The 21,087-nt window shown below is 34.4% G+C and overlaps 1 long non-coding RNA gene across 2 annotated transcripts in view; it reads left to right on the top strand.

The window, feature by feature from the left end:
* LOC105377378 (uncharacterized) overlaps window positions 1–20,502 on the top strand; it is a 30,113-nt gene extending 9,611 nt beyond the window's left edge. Inside the window, exons 2-4 of one of the 2 annotated variants that reach the window (XR_939091.3) lie at window positions 13,954–14,019; window positions 20,059–20,174; window positions 20,277–20,502. This is a non-coding gene — a long non-coding RNA (uncharacterized LOC105377378). The remainder of the gene's footprint in view (window positions 1–13,953; window positions 14,020–20,058; window positions 20,175–20,276) is intronic. The other variant, XR_939090.3, reaches the window with a different exon arrangement.
* Window positions 20,503–21,087: the final 585 nt, after the last annotated feature.

Here is a 21,087-nt window from a genome sequence, read left to right as displayed (position 1 = left end):
GCTGCAGAAATTCGCATAAGTAGCAAGGTACCTAATGTTAATACCCAAGACCATGGGAAAAATGTCTCCAGGCCATGTCAGAGACATTCATGGCAGCCCCTTCCATCACAGGCCCAAAACCCTGGAGGAAAAAGTGGTATCGTGTACTGGGCCCCAGGTCCATGCAGCCTAGGGACTTGGTGACCTGTGTCCCAGCCACTCCAGCCATGGCTGTAAGTGGCCAACATAGAGCTTAGGCTGTGGCTTCAGAAGGTGGAAGCCCAAACTTTGGAAGCTTCCATGTAGTGTTAGGCCTGCGGTGCACAGAAGTCAAGAATTGAGGTTTGGGAACCTCTGCCTAGATTTCAGAAGATGTATTGAAACGCCTGGATGCCCAGGCAAAAGTTTGCTGTAGGGGCAGGGCCCTCATGGAGAACCTCTGCTAGGGAACTGCAGAAGGGAAATGTGGGGTTGGAGCCCCCACACAGAGTCCCTACTGGGGCACTGCCTAGTGGGGCTTTGAGAATCAGACTACTGTCCTCCAGACCCCAGAATGATAGATCCACTGTCAGCTTGCACCACGTGTCTGGAAAAGCCACAGACGCTAAACACCAGCCTGTGAAAGCAGCTAGGAGGGAGGCTGTACCCTGCAAAGGCACAGGGGTGGAGCTGCCCAAGACCATGGGAACCCACCTGTTGCATCAGTGTGACCTGGATATGAGACCTGAAGTCAAATATCATTTTGGAGCTTTAAAATTTGATGGCCCTGCTGGATTTTGGACTTGCATGGGCCCTGTAACCCCTTTGTTTTGGCCAATTTCTCCCATTTTCAATGGCTGTATTTACCCAATTCCTGTACTCTCATTGTATCTAGGCAGTAACTAGCTTGCTTTTGATTTTACAGGCTCATAGGTGGAAGGGACTTGCCTTGTCTCAGATGAGACTTTGGACTGTGCACTTTTGGGTTAATGCTGAAATGAGTTAAGACTTTGGGGGACTGTTTGGAAGGCATGATTGGTTTTGAAATGTGAAGACATGAGATTTGGAGCAGCCAGGGGTGGAATGATATGGTTTGGGATTCAAATCTCATTTTGAATTGTATCTCCCAGAATTCCCATGTATTGTGGGAGGGACCCAGGGGGAGGTAATTGAATCACGGGAGTGGGTCTTTCCCATGGTATTTATGTGATGGTGAATAAGTCTCACGAGATCTGATGGGTTTATCAGGGATTTCTTCTTTTGCTTCTTCCTCATTTTTCTCTTGCCACCACCATGTAAGAAGTGCCTTTCACCTCCAACCATGATTCTGAGGCCTCCCCAGCCATATGGAACTGTAAGTCCAATTAAACATCTTTTCTTCCCAGTCTCAGGTATGTCTTTATCAGCAGCGTGAAAATGAACTAATACAACAATATACTCCTGAATGATCGGTGGGTTAATAGAGAAATTTAAAGGAAACTTAAAAATTTATTGAAACAAATGATAATGGAAACCCAACATACAAAAACCTATGTGATACAGCAAAAGCAGTAGTAAGAGGAAAGTTCATAGCTCTAATCTTACATATGAAAAGAAGAAAAACAAATACACAACCTAATGATGCATCTTAAAGAACTGGAAAACCCAGAGCAAACAAAACCCCAAATTAGTAGAAGAAAAGAAATAATTAAGATCAGAACAGAAATAAATTAATTTAAAATTAAGAAAACAATACAAAAGATCAACAAAATGAAAAGTTGGTTTTTTGAAAAGTTAAACAAACCTGGCAAATCTTTAGCCAGACTAACTGCTAAAAAAAAGAAAGACCCAAATATTTAAAATTTGAGATGACAAAGAAATATTATAACCATTACCACAGAAATGCAAATATTAGAGTCTACTATGGGCAGATATATTCCAATAAATTGATTACTCTAGAAAAAATGGATGCATTTCTAGACACATATAATTTACCAAAATAGAGCATGAAGAAATCCAAAACCCGAACAGACCAATAACAATTAATAAGATCAAAGCCATAATAAAAATTCTCCCAGCATAGAAAAACCCAAGACCCGATGGCTTCACTCCTGAAATTTGCCAAACATTTGAAGAAGAACTAATACCAATCCTACTCAAACTCTTCTGAGAAATAGAGGAGGAAGAAATATTTCCAAACTCTACAATACCGGTATAACTCTGATACCAAAACCAGACACATCAAAAAAAAAAAAAAAAAAAAAAAAGAAAGAAAGAAAGAAAGAAAGGAAGAAAGAAAATTACAAGCCAATATTTCTGAGGAATATTGATGCAAAATCCACAATAAAATACTAGCAAACTAAATTCAACAATAAACTAAAAAGACTATTTATTATAACCAAATGATATTTATACCTGTGTTACAAGGATGGTTTAATATATGCAAGGCAATCAATGTGGTATACTAATAGAGTGAAGGACTAAAACCGTATGATCATTTCAATTGATTATGAAAAAAATTTGATAAAATTCAACACTCCTTCATGATAAAATCATCAAAATCTGGGTATAGAAGGAACCTACCTCAATATAACAAAAGCCGTATATGACAGATTCACAACTGGTATCATACTAAATGGGGACCCACTGAAAGCCTTTCTTCTAAGATCTGGACCCCAACAAAACTTTTCACTTTCCCCACTGTTATTCAACATAGTTCTTCTAGTTAGAGCAATCAGACAAAAGAAAGAAATAAAGGATGTCCAAATTGGAAAGGAAGAGGTAAAATTATCCTTCTTTGCAGATAATATGATTTTATATTTGGAAAAACCTAAATACTCCACAAGAAAACTATTAGACCTGATAAACAAATTCAAAAAAGTTGCAGGTTACAAAATCAAGATACACAAACCAGTAGCATTTTCTATATGCCAACAGTGAACAATCTGAAAAAGAAATAAAAAAGTGACCCCATTTACAATAGCTAGAAATAAAATAAAATACCTAAAAATTAACTTAACCAAAGAAGCGAGAGATCTCTATAATAACAATATAAAACACTGGTGCAAGGAATTGAAGAGTTCACAAAAAAATGCAAGAATATCCCATGTTTGTGCATTGGAAGAATCAATATTTTAAAAAATGTTCATACTACTCAAAGCAATCTACAAATTCAATGCAATCCCTATAAAAATACCAATGACAGTCTTCACTGAAATAGAAAAAAAAATTCTAAAATTTGTATTGAGCCACAAAAGGCCCAGAATAGCCAGAGCTATTCTAAGTAAAAACAAAAAACAAACAAACAAACAAAAACAAAACAAAACTGGAGTAATCACATTATCTGACTTCAAATTATACTGTAGAGCTATAGTAACCAAAGCAGCATGGTACTGGCACAAAAATCGACACATAGACCAATGGAACAGAATGGAGAACCCAGAAACAAATCCATACATCTACAGTAAACTCATTTTCAACAAAGGTGCCAAGAACATACATTGGTGAAAGGACAATCTCTTCAATAAATGGTTAAAATGCTGGGAAAACTGGCTATGCATATGCAGAAGAAAAAAACTAGACCCCTATCTTGCACCATATACAAAAATTAAATAAAAATAAATTCAAGACTGAAATATAATATCTCAAATTATGAAACTACTTAAAGAAAACATTAGGTACATTCGCTAGGATATTGGAATCTGCAAAAATTTCTTGACTAATATCCCACAACATAGGCAACCAAAGCAAAAATGGACAAATGGAATCACATCGAGTTGAAAAGCTTCTGCACAGCAAAGGAAACAATAAACAAAGTGAAGAGACAACCTACAGACTAGGGGGAAATATTTGCAAACTACCCATCTGACAAGGGCTTACTAACCAAAATATATAGCAGCTCAAACAATTCTACAGGAAAAATATGTAATAATATGATTTTAAAATGGGCAAAAACCTGAATAGACATTTCTCAAAAGAAAACATACAAATGACAAACAGGTGCCCAACATCACTGATCATCAGAGAAATGCAAATTAAAACTACAGTAAGATATCACCCCACCCCAGTTAAAATGGCTGTTATCTAGAAGACAGGCAATAATGAATGCTAGCGATGATGCAGAGAAAAGGGAACCCTCATACACTGTTGGTGGGAATATAAATTATTATAACCACTATGGAGAACTGTTTGGAGATTCCCCTAAAAACTAAAAGTAGAGTTACCATATGATCGAGCAATCTCACTGAGAGATAAATACACAAAAGAAATGAAATCAGTGTATCAAAGAGATATCTTCAGTCTCATGTTTATTGTAGCACTATTCACAATAGCCCACATTTGAAAGCAACCCACATGTCCATCAATTGAAGAATGGATAAAGGAAATTGATACATATATGCAATTGAGAACTATTCAGCCACAAAAAAAGAATAAGATCCTGTGATTTTCAACAACATAGATGTAAATAGAAGTCATTTTCTTAAGTGAAATAAGCCAGGCATAGAAAGATAAACTTTGCATATTCTCGCTTATCTGTGGTAGCTATAATTTTACAAAATTGAATTCATGGAGATAGAGAGTAGAATGATGGTTACCAGAGGCTGGGAAGGATAGCGGGGGCAGGGATGGGGAAAATTGGGGGCTAGTTCATGGGTACAAATATACAGATAGAATAAATAAGATCCAGTATTTGATAGCTCAGCAGGGTGACTACAGTCAACAATAATTTATGTGCATTTAAAAATAACTAAAAGAGTATAACTGGATTGTTCGTAACACAAAAGGATACATGCTTGAGATGACAGATACCCTATTTACCCTAATCTTATTATTGATGAATTGTATACTTGTATCAAAATATCTTATGTGTCCCATAAATAATACACCTATTATGTACCAACAAAAGTTAAAAATTAAGAAATTAAAAATAAAAATGGGCCAAGAAAAAAATGTCTCAAACTCAAGGTAAAGTCATAAAATAATTATAAGAAATCATATATATTCCCATTTTCAGCTGAAATTGTACCCAACTCTGCTTAGATTAGTTCCTGATAAAGATGTGATGGGAAGGGTACAGGCATTTATTCCCTCATAACAGTAACTTTTGAAGATTTTTCCAAGAGCATTTTTTGCAGGTCTCAAGAATTTGCTAATTATATTCATCTACTAGATACATAAAGATACATCTATTCCTTCCTGGTAATTAATGGGACATTTATAGACTATAAAACAAAGAGATTTTACTAGGCTATTCAAAATAATTTTAGATTTATGTTCATCTGATTCAATAGATGCTTATGTTCCAGTAGTATATGGTGATATTTATGTAAAGGGAGCCCTAAAATGAATCATTATGTATAACATGTTGGGATTTGCTTCTCTGAGCAGAGGGTGAGTCACATTTTATGTCCATAAATACAGATTTGTTTCCAGTTAGTGTTATCCTGCTTTCTAAGACTTTCTGAAAGTAAGTTATAGGCAGCCCTGAAAGGAACATATGTATATATACAAGTGTGAATGAGAACCACACTTACAATTACTTACATTAGTTTCTGTAGTTAAACCAGTATCGGCAATTGCACTGGACTACTTAAGAGAAGGTAGAATCTCTCTGAAAGCTGTGTAGCTGGGGATGGTGGTTGTCTCCTTGGAGAGTCATTGGGAAGCAGTTAACCCCCATTTTTAATCTGTTTTTTCTAACCCTATCTCCAAATACAATTCTTCATTTAAAAAAATCATGTTTCCATGTTCTTGGCACTTTCTGTTGTAACTGATTATTTGTCCGAAGGCCCAGCAACTTGATACTTCTTTCTTAAATTCCTCTTCCTTTTCAGTAGCAAAGTCATCTCAGATATCCTCATAATTATTTTACCATATTTATTTTAAGGAAAAAATTGGTATCCCTTTTCTACAAATATTGCTCAATATTACTTTGAACAGGCTTTCATGGTTGTTCTAACACTAGTTTCTTTCAAGTTGGAAAGAAAAATATTTTCCTTTAATTGCCCTCAGTTGGATTTTGTATAGCTGACTATCTGACATTCTGGAAATTTTCAGGTAAAATCCTATGCGTGTGCTAAAACAGGGGAACAATTTCCGACATGGTGATTTAATTTGGTTTATGCCCTATTAACTTACAAAGCAGCATATTCATTTAAGTAAGCTCTTTTTAAGAAAATAAGAAGTTAGAAAAGCTGGTGAACTAATGATTTCAAGGCAAGGTATACGATTTTCATTTTTATTTTTAAGCAGAAATATTTAACCTCCGTAATTTTGGGAGGCTAATTTTCATATTTTTGTAATACAGATTTCTCTTACAAGCCATGGAGCTCTTTTTGTAAATACAAATTAAGCGTTAATTTTTTGGGGGATATTTTGAAGGTATATTGAAGTTAAGAGAGTTCTTTGAACACTTACATATTTAATTTCATTATACATTTTAATTGCATTGTAGTGTTTCTGAATTCCTTACTGTGCTTTTACTTTTAACTTCTCAAGTAAACTATAATCAATTGACAATGTGTTCTACATTATTGCTATTTAGTTTCTACATTATACTTCACTGTCTAATTTACATTTTCTCTTGGATGTTAAATAGGCATGTCAAACCTAAAAAGCCCAAATTCTAACTGTTTGATCTCCAGTTCTACCCCTAAAGGCTGATCCTCTTTTTCTATCTTAGTGAAAGGCTATTTCATCCTTCCAGTTTTTGGGCAAAAAGTCTCAGACTCATCCTTGATCTTCTCTGTCATTTACATGCTAGCATTAAATATGCTGATTTAATCTATCAGCATATTTTATCAGCTCACCCTTGGAAACCTATTCAATATTTTATCACTTCTCTCTACCTCCACTGCTACAACTACACACCATGAACAAATCACCGTCTTTTCTTGCTGAGACTGTTGCAATAGTCTATTCATGGGTCTTTTACCTTTTATCTTTGAGCAAATATTGTTTATTCTCAGCCCAGCAGCTAGAGTAATCCTTCTAAGAAGTGGTAGATCCCATCACTCTTCTCTGCAAAACCATCCAATGCTTACTGTCTCTTCAACAGGAAAAGACAAGTTCCCTGCAGAGGCTTACACATTCCCTCTTAATAGGCTCTTCCCTCCTCACTGCTCTGAATTCATTTTCTACATTGCCCCCTTACTCAGCTCCAGCTACACTGGCCTCTTGTCACTCCAACAGGCCAAGTATGCTCTTGTCTCAAGACCTTGAACTTCCTCTTCCTCTCTGTCCATCACGCTGTAACCCAAATATCCACTGGCTTACGTCCTCACTTCCTTTGGGTCTCTTCTCAAATGTCATAATATCAAAGAGAACTTCCCAGATCATTCTACATGAAATAGCACCCCTCCACTGTCACCAATCTCGAAGCCTTATCCTGCTTTGTTATTCCTTGGATTGTACTTATTATTTGATATGTTATATATTTCTTAAAATTTGTTTTGAGATCTTTACCTCCACTAGACTGTAAACTTCACTAAACAAAGAATTTATTTAGTTCATTTTGCACCCTAGCAACTTGCACATTTAGGCTTATGACAAATATTAATTGAAAGGATGTATAAATGAATTGCACAGTGTTCCATACAAGTTAATGCCACCTGGGCATTACAACAAATGTTTTGGGTCGAAATAGCCATGTAAAAAATAAAAGGATGTGAACAATTATTAATCACAATCTTATTTGTCTTTAAAATCACCTCATTTTCACAGAGTGTTTTAATGAAGCTTGGGCACATGTGGAATCATCATGGTCAAATGGTTCTTATTATATAATTTCTAAAACAAAAAACCAGTGTTCATCGTTATTCTGCTAAAAGCTTTCTTTATGTTCCCATCAGTGTCTCCATCAACTATTACTTATTATTTGCCTGATGGGATTCAATCTTAGTTTGTCAGTATTATTATTCTAGTAGCTTTCACTTTATCTCTAGAGAAGTAGTAAAAATTAGAAGGTTATAAGAGAAAGAAAATGTATGCCATAATATGGTTAATCATCAGAATTCTTACCAAATATTATACTTTTATTGGTACAGAGCTGACTCTGAAATATTCCTTGGGTGCCGTTTTACCTGCCAGCATGCCATTCCTGATGTTGCTTTTAATTTTAATAATAAATTATTTTATTCATTTCTTACTAATTTCCAGATGGTAGGATAGCAGTTAAGAAACTGTTTGAATATTCGATTATAGGTCAACTTTATGAGTGTGTTTAGGGCCCCACAATATAATGAATCCGTGAAAGAAACTTCTGCTTTATTTTTGACAGTAAAAGCCATGTTTTACTATTAGTTTTTATGTCTTTCTTGGTTTCAGTTGGGAATATGTCCTAGCTCATAGTCACCTCACAATTAATCTTTTAACCTCTTTGCCTCCTGACCATTCAAATATTTCATCTTATGAAAATAATTTAAAAGTCAGAGTTTTACATGAAGATTCACAAAACAGTATTAGTTTTCCTGTTTTTTCTTCCCCATGCTCCAGACTGTACGCATTGGGCAAACTAGTTTCTGCAGTTAGCGCTGTGCCCAAAAAGGCCTTGTCTCCACTCAAGCTAAAAAAAAAAGGTAAGATACACGTTAAAGAGAAGTTCATCATACTAAAGGAAAAACATTAAGCCTAAAAATCTGTTACAATAGCTATATGAGTTTTTTTTTTTACAATATGGCAACTAATAGGCCTGTTTATCTTTCTCTTCCTTTATGCTTCCAAATCCCTCTTCAACATTTATATTTAAATACCATATCTGACAATTGTTTATATTAGATATAATAATTTTTAAGCATGGTAAACTATGTTTCTGTAAAAAAAAATTAAAAATGCATACATGGCAGAATGTGCCACTGCAAGAAAAAAATCCACTGCTTAGAGTAAGACTTTTCTTACTTGAGTAAGCAAATATAAAATGTCTACTTTTTATGCTATAAAGATTTCAAAAACATTAGGATAGTCCTAATCCCCAAGTACAAAAGACTACTTCATGTACTGTATTTATTACGTACATGATTCTAAAATAACATTAAAATTTGACATGTGAAAGAGTAGGGTGTTTCTTTAGACGTACTTTCACCCAAGACACATAAATTGGTTCTATAATTATTCAGTTACAAATGAGATTTTTATACTTTGTTCTTACCAATATTTATTGTATAATCTGTTCTAAACCCAGAAATAAACATATTTATTATACATTTGAGAGTCTAAAGTTGCTTGAGGCAGTGATAGAAATTTTCAAATTACTGAGTGTTTTTTTAATATTGCCAGGCTAGAAATATTTTCCTACCCTCAAGCTCCTTTCAGATCATCAAATACTAACAACTTTTATTCCTCTGGCTCAGCTATGCAGCAGTTTATCAAAGGATTGATAACTTCTTTTTTTAAATGGTCTTTTGAGATCAGCCTATGCCAAAGAAAAATATTTTACAAAACCTTCTCTGCCTTTGTAAATGGTTGAAGGACCACTAGAGAACCTATACCTGTAAGTCAGGACATTTGACTCTGATCGACCAACCATTCTGAATGGTTGGTTTTTTAACAAGTCAGGACCTTGACCAACAGGTCAATTCATTACTTTCCACATACTCTGTATGTGAAGAATTATTTGTTTCCATAACAAATTATGTTCTGAGACCTAAGTAGAAATTGAAATGGAATAAGAATATGTGGCTAGTTACCAACTCAGATTTAATTACGACAACCACCCAAACACTTCATGTACATCAACTAATTTGTAGTTAATTTATTGAGGAGCATCAACACTAACATGTAAATATACAATGGTTTTATTTTTTCTAAAGACTGCACTAATTGTGTATTCTTTCGACTGCTTACAGGTTTATCACTGAAAAACTTGGGGAACACATCTATCTGGAAGTCCGACCCCATGACTGAAACTAAAATAATTGTGTAAAACTCCTACCCCATGGCTGAAGCTCATGGAGCTTTTTATTATCACTTTTTATTATTAAAACACTATTTATTATTAAAACAATCACTATTGTTTTCCTACCCCCCAGCCTCCAGGAAGTTAAACTCTAGTGGCGTGGAGGTTTGAAAATGTGTATGTGGTGGGGGTAGGGGATGAAAGAGTGAATGTTCTGGTTTCCAAATCAGTAACTTACATTTTCCCTAGTGTGTGTCTTTCTAGAAAAGTGGGAGTTGGGTGGAGGGGTATGGGAGACAGGCTTCTTAGATGATGGCCCATGGCAAAACCTGTCCTCTCTTTAATTTGGCAAACTCCTCAACCTGCCTACTTTCTATGGACTTGATATTGACTTATAGGGCTCTGTACATGAAAGACTCACTCCCACACAGCTCACCTGCACATTGGTGCTCTCTAGTGAAATAAAACCACATACATCAGCCTATCTGGCAGCCTTGTATTGCATTCCTCTGAAAAATGTACATCTGTGACCCACACTCCTATGGTCCCCTGTAAAACCATGGCTTTGCCTATTATCCAGCCATTTGGTGAGGTCCCAGACCAGATGCTGCAGGAACAAACATTGAGAGGGTACTGTCTTTATCTCTTTCTTCTCTCAGCCTGAAAATCATAACAAAACCTCCATCTCTAATTTTCTTTACCAAAGCTTTGGTAGCACAGAGAGCAGGAAGTCTGATGGCTAAATAGACGTCTAACCAAGAAACAAATTTAGTTCCTTCATTTAACAGGCACTCCACACTTATAAGGCATTCTCCTTGGGCTTCCTACATTGGTTTTCAGAAGAAAAGCATGCCACCTACCAAAAAGGGAGACCGGCAGATGGAATGTGGGGTGTGTGTGTGTGTGTGTGTTTTCCTTTTTCATAACATTTTCTACAATGTTTGTCTCTTAATCTTCATCTTATATCAATGCAGTGTGGTGGTGGCAATAGTATCAGAAAGGGTTGACCTTAAAAGCAGAGATTCTATGAACTTACAACTTAAATTTCTTAGCTATGGGTTTTGCTCATTATTTTTAATATATTCTATTACTGTAGTTGGATTTTCACATGTTTAATATTCACAAGTCAGTATATTTTGAAGTTTTGTAGTTAAATTGGACCTGGATTTCCATCTCTACTCTACCAAGTATTAGCTGTATTAATCTTGGGCAAGCTTACTAATGATTCTGAGCTTCAATATTCACAGCTGCAAGATATAAATAATAACTTTTCATAGATTTTCAAAGGAACTAGACAATGCATATCTTATACAAATAACTTAGCATGATGTATAGCAAATAAGAGACATTTAGTAAAGTCATTTTCACAATTTAGAGGTTAAGAAACTGACTTCAGAGATTACTACATTTTCTAAAGATGTTTGAAAGTAACAGAGACAGTATTTGAAATCAGATCTGATTTATGCTAAAACCTATATATTTTCTACTGCTACATGCCACCACTACATTTGCTACTTCAAAAAATTAATCAATTGACGTATTTTCCTTAATTGTACCAAAGAAACTCCTAATTTAAAATGAAATTTAAGAAAATTATTTTTAAGAAGGATTTAGGATATTGTTCACATATACAGTGCCATAACCCAAATTAGTATTGAGAAAAGTATGGCAAGGGAAAAACAAGGATAAATATAAAAAGGTAAATTTCTGGGAAACCAAAAATTTTCCTGTGTTCAGCTCTGATAGGTAGCAGTATATTTGGAAGTACCTCTAGTAGAGTCATTACCTGGAATCTACAGGCCAATCTTAACTTTCAAGGGAGGTCTATGAATACTTGAAATTGTGCAATATTTTGTATGTGAGTGTCTATATGTAATTGTCCTGGGCATTCAAACTACTTTCTTTTAGAAAACTAAAAATCAAACAAATGAAGGAAGCAGAGCAAAAACTCTGCAAAATTCCTTTTAGTTCCACAGTATTATAAGCAAATTCTATGAGAAAATCCCCTATAAAATCTCATTATTCTTACCGTAATACAGATATTTTGTAGCATTGACTGAGGTTAAGAACTCTTAAAAATACTTATAGAACAATGCCTTTATATTATAAATGAAAAGCAGATCTTTGTAGTTAAAAAGTCATAGGAGCTTGGTCTTGTATCTTTTACAAAGAAGAGGTGGCTCCTGGAAGGTCAGCTCAACTTCAGCTTGAAGCTATTAATAACTTCAATTACATGTATCTTGAGAATTTGTAGAAATTCTTGTAATGACAGGAGCTGGCATCATCTCTAAAACCTAGATTTATGCACCCTAACTTGATCATTATCTGTCATTACAAATTTAAGGGCCCAAATCCAAGGTTCAGGACCAAAAACTTTGCCAAAAGTAGCATGTGCCACAAGCCTAACTGCACAGAAAATAAGAATAAAAAGTCTGAATAACTATTTATAATGACTTCCATGTTAGATTTCTAAAAAGAATTGGTTGAAAGATTTGATACTTTTGTCTTATAAAGCTAATCTTTTTATGCCTTAACATGTGAGGCCATTTTTAATAGCGAAATCTTTAAAATGTGTGTTTCTATAAAAGAATCTAATTATTACAGATTATCATTCTACTTATCTTTTATTATTTAATTTCAAACTCATTTTCAGATACTAAGTCATTTACCAAAGGCATCACATTTTATTTTTCATTTAGAATACAACATACTATTTGTTACCATAAGAAAAAAATCCTTCAATAGGGAGTGTTTAACCTAACTCCTAATCCTATAATGATATTCTTTTCTAGATAACCTGGGCTAAGTAAAGACTTTTTTAAGCTAACAATTTCAGAAATAAATTTAGCTCCCAGAATTACCAGAACTGCATTAAAACTGCTCTTAAATTCAGAGTGCTTCACTTGATTACTTTTTTCTTTTTACTTTATCAGCTGTAAAGTATGACTTAAATTCACTTTATTTTTAGAGGGGAATCAGCTATGTTAGTCATCTCTAAGGAAAAATACATTGAAAGCTATAATCTGGCGACATTTTAAATCTTCAAAAAAAAGTAATAGAATCGTACATTTTATCAATGGGAGACATATAACTCAATACTAATATGGTAAAGGTAAGAAGAAGTTAAAATTTCATTGAAATCAATGTGCTGCCTAAATTATTGCCTACTGTGGGAGTGGTAGAATATTTCTGATATATCACTGTAAACAATGATACAAATCTTTTATTTATTTATTTATTTATTTTTTTGAGACAGTGTCTCGCTCTGTCACCCAGGCGGGAGTGCAGTGGCGCGATCTCCACTTCCCAGTTTCAAGCAATTCTTGTGCTTCAGCCTCCCATGTAGCTGGGAGTACAGGCGTGAGCCACAATGCCTGGCTAATATTTGTATAAACAATCTTTAATAGTTAAATTATATGATATTGGTTACGGGAGCAGCTCCCATGTAACCTAATAACACAATTCACTCTGACTGGCAATTACCACCCATTCAGCAGTATCACTCAGTTGCCTTATTGCTGGAAATTATGAAATTATATAATACTAGAAGTTGACCTTTTACCATTTAATCCTACTCCCTTACATAAGCAATCAGAAAGTTGAAAATAACACGTGCACTGGATTAGCATTAGATCTGATATCTATCTGTCCTCCTGATAATCATTAGCCACATGACTTTTAGAATGTTACTTAATCTCTTTGAGTCTCTGTTTCCAAATTTGGAGTAATAATGCTTTTTTTTTTTTACCAAAACTGATAATTATTGTAAGAGTCAAAGGAGGTGACATGTATGGAAGTGCCTTATCATTGATTGTATTATTGTTTTCTGAAATACGGAATGCTATATGTCCTTGCACAGCATGTGGTTTGCATATACATTCACCAGGAAGGGAATTCGATTGGGACACATGCTCTGATGTACTCTGGGGGACATGAGAAGACAAAACTGTGGTTTGTAAATGTTCTATCAGCTGTGGTCTGGTCATTCTCAGCAGCGATGGGCACCACCCTAGAATGGCTCAGGAGGAAAATTTTTGACAAGACAAGAGATAGTGAATCTTTATCTTGCTTTAGGATTTAGCCAACTGGGGCTTAATAATTATCTTATCCTTTTGTCTTTCCAGAATCCAGAAAGCCTGGAAGATACTTTTCCAAGAATTTATTTTCTGTTTAGATTCTACCCCTGAAAGGTACCATACAATATTTGGAAGGTGAAGTAGAATCAAAGCCATTTTGCTCTGGCAGCAGTAAGCCAATGTACAGGCAAAAGACAGACCTGATGTTTTTTCCAGTGCCTTCACATGTTTTGTCAATCACTTGCTTCAGTGCTGCAAGCAGCTGACATGTCTGCAGTGGTGTTCTGAAACTCTTATAATTTCCTTTGCCATTGCCTGCCATTTCCAGATTTCCTGGAAGTTAGTGATGCCTTTTCTGACCTTTGTTTTCCTAGTCTTTCTAATGTTTTAGTATGTATGTAATTTATTGTATTAAATGTCTTCCTATCTTCTTTGCAAATCCCAGATTGATACAGTATCTCACTTTACTCAGATATTTCTGACAATTTATTATCAATTATCTAATTGCTACATAAAACACCAAAAACTTAGTGGCTTAAAACAACAACAATAAAATTTAACTAAAAATCAATTTAAAAGATGTATAGAGAATTTCTAAATATTTGGAAATGAAAGAAGGCACTTCCAAATAATACATGAGTCAAAGAAGAAATTGGAACAGAAATTAGAAAGTAATCTAGAAGAATATGAAAATACAATATATAATAATTTGTAGGATGCAGATAAAGCACTTCTTAAAGAGAAATTTATAGAACTAAATGCCTATATTAGAAAAGAAGAAAGATTTGAAATCAATGAATTCAGCTTTCATCTTAAAATAACAGAAAAAGAAGATCAAAGTAAATCCAAAGTAAGCATGAGAGTAAATAATAAATAGGGCAAATCAATAAAATAGAGCACAGTAAAACAATAGAGAAAATCAATGAAACAAAAAGCTGGTCCTTTGAGAACATCAACGAAGTTGATAAATGTCCAGCCAGAAAGGCCAGAAATAAAGTAAAAATCAATATCAGGAATGTCAGAGGTGACATAACTATAGATCTTATAGATGTTTAAATAGTAACAAGGAAACATTATAAACAACTTAATGACAATAAATTTGACTACTTAGATGAAATTCACTGATAGACATGCACTATCAAAGCTTATGAGGATTAAATAGTTAAGCTAAACGACCTTACATTTAGGTATTGAATTTGTATTTAAAAACTTTATCACAAAGGAAACTAAAAGTCTGGATGGCTTCATTTATTAATTCTACCAAATATTTAAGGAAGAAATAATACCAACTCTATACCAATTGTTCCAGAAAATTTATGAAGAGAGAATACTTCATAGCTCATTCCATGAGCTCAGCATTTCTCTGATATCAAAAAAAGACATTACAATGAAAGAAAGCCATGGACCCACACACCTCACAAAAACAGATAGTAAAGGTCTTAATATTTTACAAATCTATCACAATGGTTTATAAAAAGGATAAAACATGATGATTGGGTGGGACTTATTACAGGAATACAAATTTTATTTACTATTTAATAATTAATCACTGTAATCCATTCACTGTGTTCACAAACCTCAATCCCCCTCAAAATACAATCATCTCATTTGAGACAGAAAACATATTTGACACGACTCTCTTTCCACAAACAAGAAATCTAAGAAACTGTCTCAACCTTAATGAGAAAAGACTGAAAACTTTACCAGGAACAAAACAAAAATGTCTATTACTATTTCTATTCAACATTGTACTAGAGATTTTATTTGGGGCCATAAGGCAATAAAAATATGTAAAAACGTCCATATTGTAAATGACCAAGTAAAGCTATATTTATAGATAATCTGATTGTTTATGTAGAAAATACTAATGAATCTATAAAAATAGTAGTGAGATTAGCAAGTTTGCATGATACAAGATTAATATATTTTAAAAATATTTTGCTATATGCTATAAGTAATCTGAAATTAAAATTTTAAGTACTATTTAAAATAGCATCAAATTTTGAAATCATTAATGATAAACTTGTCAAAAATATGCAAGACCTGTAAATTGAAAACCATAAAACATTACCGAGAGAGAGAGAGAGAGAGAGAGAGATGCCTTAGTCAGTGCAGGCTACTATAACAAATATCATAGACTAGGCAGCTATTTATTACAGTTCTGGAGGCTGTGAAGTCCAACACCAAGGTGCTAGCTGATTTGGTTCCTGGTTTGCTGACCCTCTATGATTTGCAGACAGCCACATTCTTGCTGTATTCTCACACTGGGAAGAGAAAGAGGGCTCTGGTCTGTTCCTTTTTTTATAAGGTCATTAATCCATCATGATGGCTCTGCCTTCATGACCTCTTCTAAACCTAATGACCTCTTGAAGGCCTGATCCTACTTCCAGATACCATTATATTGAGGATTAGGACTTCAATATATGGATTTTGAAGTAGCACAAATATTCAGTTCATTGCAAAAGTTTAAAACAATACAAGTACATAAATTCTTGTTCAGAATTTTGAATCTATAGGTTAAATGTGATCTCCAGCCACCTTTTAAAAATATGAACTGCTTTTATTTTTATAGAAATCAACATTCTGATTAAAAATTCTTGCAGAAATAAATTTAATGTATAAAATCCATAAGGACCTTAAAAAATAAATTTGGAGGCTTAAAACCTAATTTTGAGATTTATCATAAAGAAACTAATAAAGACAGCGTACTATTGGCACAAAGATGGCAAAATAAATCAATTGGTCAATGAATAGACTCACACATATATGCCTAATTGATTTTTGAGAAAGGTGACAAGGCAATTGAATGGGGAAAGGATAACCTTTCTCAAAAATTGTGTTAGGACAATTGGTTAGCCATATGTGAAAATAGGAACCTTGATTCATATCTTATTACAACTAATACAAATGTATTCAAGATGAGTGAACAACCTAAACATAAAAGTTTTTTAAAAAATAAAGTTCTTAGAAGCAAACAAAGGAAAAATATTTGCGACCTTGGTTTAGGCTATTTTTTAAAGATTCAACTGTAAGAGCATAATCTATAAAAGAAAAGAAATGATAGATTGAGCTTTACCCAAATGAAGAACTCTTTGAATGACATTGTTAAAAAATGAAAAAGACAAATCACACAGTGGAAGAAAATATGCACAAATAGTATAAAGAATCCTCAAAACTCGATGATAAGGAAATTAACAACCCAGGTTAAATAATTAATTATATTATTAGTCTTTATAGTATTGCTAATTAAAGCCATAGTGAGACACTACTACACACATATTAGAATATGGAAAATTAAAAAGACTGACTCTCAGTAGTGGGCAAGGATATAGGACAACTGGAATTCTTATACATGATTGGTGGGAATGTAAAGTGGCGCAGTCTCTCTTAAAAACAGTTTGGCAGTTCTTAAAATGTTCAAGTCAAACATATATCTAGCACATAACCCAGACATTTTATCATCAGGTATTTATTTAAGAGAAATGAAACATCTGTCTATACAAAAGTTGTACATGAATGTTCAGAACAGCTTTAATTGTAATAGTCAAAAATTGTAAACAATACAAGTGTCCATTAACAGGTAAATGCATAAATAAATTGTGGTATATCCATATTACGGAATGCTAGTCAGTAATACAAAGAAGTAATCTTCTGATATACCCAATATGGACAAGTTTAAAAATGATTATGCTAAGTGAAAAAAAGTCTCTAATGATCAGTGATGATGAGCTTTTTTTCATATATTTGTTGGCTGTGTAAATGTCTTCTTTTGAGAAGTGTCTGTTCATATTCAAGTCAGGAATGCTGGATGTGGAGAAATAGGAACGCTTTTACACTGTTAGTGGGAGTGTAAATTAGTTCAACCATTGTGAAAGACAGTGTGGTGATTCCTCAAGGATCTAGAACCAGAAATACCATATGACCAACCAATCCCATTACTGGGTATATACCCAAAGGATTATAAATCATTCTACTATAAAGACACATGAACAGGTATGTTTATTGCAGCACTGTTCACAACAGCAAAGACTTGGAACCAACCGGAATGCCCATCAATGCATCAATGATAGACTGGATAAAGACAATGTGGCACATATACACCATGAAATACTATGCAGCCATAAAAAGAATGAGTTCATGTCATTTGCAGGGACATGGATGAAGCTGGAAACCATCATTGTCAGCAAACTAACACAAGAACAGAAAACCAAACACTGTTTGTTCTCACTCATAAGTGGGAGTTGAACAATGAGAACACATGGACACAGGGAGGGGAACATCACACACCAGGGCCTGTTGGGGGGTGGGGGCGATAGGGGAGGGACAGCATTAGGAGAAATACCTAATGTAGATGACTGGCTGATGGGTGCAGCAAACCACCATGGCATGTGTATACCTATGTAACAAACCCGCACATTCTGCACATGTATCCCAGAACTTAAAATAAAATAAAAAAGTCAGGCCAAACACACACTATATGATTTCACTTAAATAAAACTTTAGAAAATGTTAAATGTGTCTATAGTAGCAGAAAACAGATCAGTGGTTTACCCAGGATAGGGTATGATGTGGGGAGGGGCAAGAAGAAAAGAGTACAAAGGGGCATAAAGAAACTTTTATGGGTGATGGTTATGCTTATTATTTTAATTGTGGTAAGGATTTCATGATTGTGTCCTCATATTAAAATATAAATTATACCTTTGACCTGGGAGAAATGTATCTTACGCCCATTATACCTCAATAAAGCTGTAAAACAAACATACAAACAAAACTCAACATCATGAATATTTGTATCTTCCTGTGATCAAGACTGGGCTCAGCCATGCTGCTTGTCTCTGCTTCCTCCTGGTGTCAACTGGGCTCACTCTCGAGTTGGCAATCAGCTGGTGTCTTGACTGGGCTGGAGGGTCCAAAATGGCCTCACTCACATGTCCAGTGCCTTAGCTGAGAAGGCTAGAATAAATGGGGGTTGGCTGGACTTCTCTTTCTCCTCATAGTCTTTCATCTCCAGGAATTCTATCTTATCCTCAGGAGGCTTGCCCAGGCTCCCTGATGTAGAGTCTCAGACAGCATGAGGGTGAAAATAAGAGCTGAAAAGTCCTTTCAAGATTTAAGCCTGTAATTTATACAATGTTACTTCTGGCCAAGGAAGTATTCTACTGGCCTGCACAAGTCATAAGACCAGCCCAGAATCAGTGTGGGAAGGGACTATAAGGGTATGATTTATTTGGGACTATTTGAAACAATCTATTACAATGTCTATAACTTTCAACCTAGTGATTTTTGCAAACATATTTCTGTATCATTAATGTCACAGAAGTATATTAGCATATGTAATAAACACAATTCAAAATTCAACATTAATTCAGTGATTGATATTTGTGGTTGGCAATTCCTATTTCTTTACCATCTATACTCTACCAAGTTCCTACCTTATGAACGTTTTTTCCTCTTTAGAATGGCAGAAGAGGAGGTGGTTCTTAAATTTTATTTCTATATTTAGGGCTATACAATATTCACTGAATGTTTTTTCCTATTCTTCAAAAACATGTAGCTCATATATACTTTCCCAGCTTTCATGAGTAAAAACAACTTTCATTATTTTTCCCTTGTCATGGTTATTTTCTTTTCTCCATTGCTATACACTTTCCTTTTCACTGCAAAGAAAATATTTCACTGTTTCTAGATAATTTCTCTTAAGTCATTTAACTTAAAGGCCTCTCTATTGTACATTCCTTTTTTGTAGCCATATTAAGTAAAAACATTAAATTGCAATATTTGAATTATATAAACTAACTCAGAAGATTTGAAGCATTTAAACAGCCTGTATTGATTTACCTTCTATGACAAATTGCTGAGTCAAGCACTTTATGTTGCACACAGTATCTGATAAAATTATGGTAGACACAATAGACATGATAAAAACAATGGCACCAGGCTAGAAGAAAGGCAGATACAAGACAAATAATTGTATAACAATATACAGTCAATGCTATGGAATTAGCAATTTCCTACAGCCAATACCTACACAATGCCAGATTCTAGAAAACACCAAGACCTATTGACCTAGTTTTCTGTCTAAAATCATTAAAATGAATCATTAGAATCTGCCAAAACGTGAACAAGCATGATTCTTTTTTCTCTCTCATACAGTCAGTCCTGAAAGGATTATAAAAGCAAGAAAGAAACATGGACTCTAAGAATTAACAACAGTGTGGGAAGCCACGGAGGAGATTTATGACTACCCTAAATTGGTTTGTGTTTGGATGGTGAGTGCCTGAAAATTGCTACTGAATATTTTGATGAGAAAATGAATTAAGATAAATCTTTTTAACTTTCTGCTTTTGATTATCTTTTTTTTCTTATCTTAGGATGACTATTTCCTGCTCTTTATTACTAGAAATTGGCAGCAACATCTCAGATTGGATAATGGTACTGGTGGAATAATTACCAGAAAGAAAAAAACATCCCCACTAAAGTGATGAAAACATGTACAGATTGTCCAACCTTTTGCTTTTGTACCACTTCCCCTTCCAGATGTCAGGGTTGTGATTTATTTCTCCCTAAGAGTTTAAAAATAAAACTCTCATCATAAAATTTGCCTGATACTGATGAAAAATAAGATGTAGTAATTTAGGCTTTCAGACTAGACTCAGAAATAGAATCCATTAATATTTTTTTACTAGGGATCCATTTAAAAACATCTAAACATGATGAAAATGAAAGAATGGAGAGAAATATGCCAGGTAAATATAAACTTAAAAGAAAGCTGGGGAAACTATCAATATCTGACAAAAATAGATTTTCATGTAAAAAAATGTGGCACACATACACCATGGAATACTATGCAGCCATAAAAAAGGATGAGTTCATGTCCTTTGTAGGGACATGGATGAAGCTGGAAACCATCATTCTCAGCAAACTATTGCAAGGACAAAAAAACATACACCACATGTTCTCACTCACAGGTGGGAATTGAACAATGAGAACACATGGACACAGGAAGGGGAACATCACACACTGGGGCCTGTTGTGGGGTGGGGGGAGGGGGGAAGGATAGCATTAGGAGATATACCTAATGTTAAATGGCGAGTTAATGGGTGCAGCACACCAATATGGCACATGTATACATGTGTAACAAACCTGCACGTTGTGCACATGCACCCTAAAACTTAAAGTATA

Source organism: Homo sapiens, chromosome 4 (genome assembly GCF_000001405.40).
Source record: "Homo sapiens chromosome 4, GRCh38.p14 Primary Assembly".
In the NCBI taxonomy this organism is placed as follows: Eukaryota; Metazoa; Chordata; class Mammalia; order Primates; family Hominidae; genus Homo; species Homo sapiens.
This window is presented reverse-complemented; position numbering and strand designations above follow the sequence as displayed.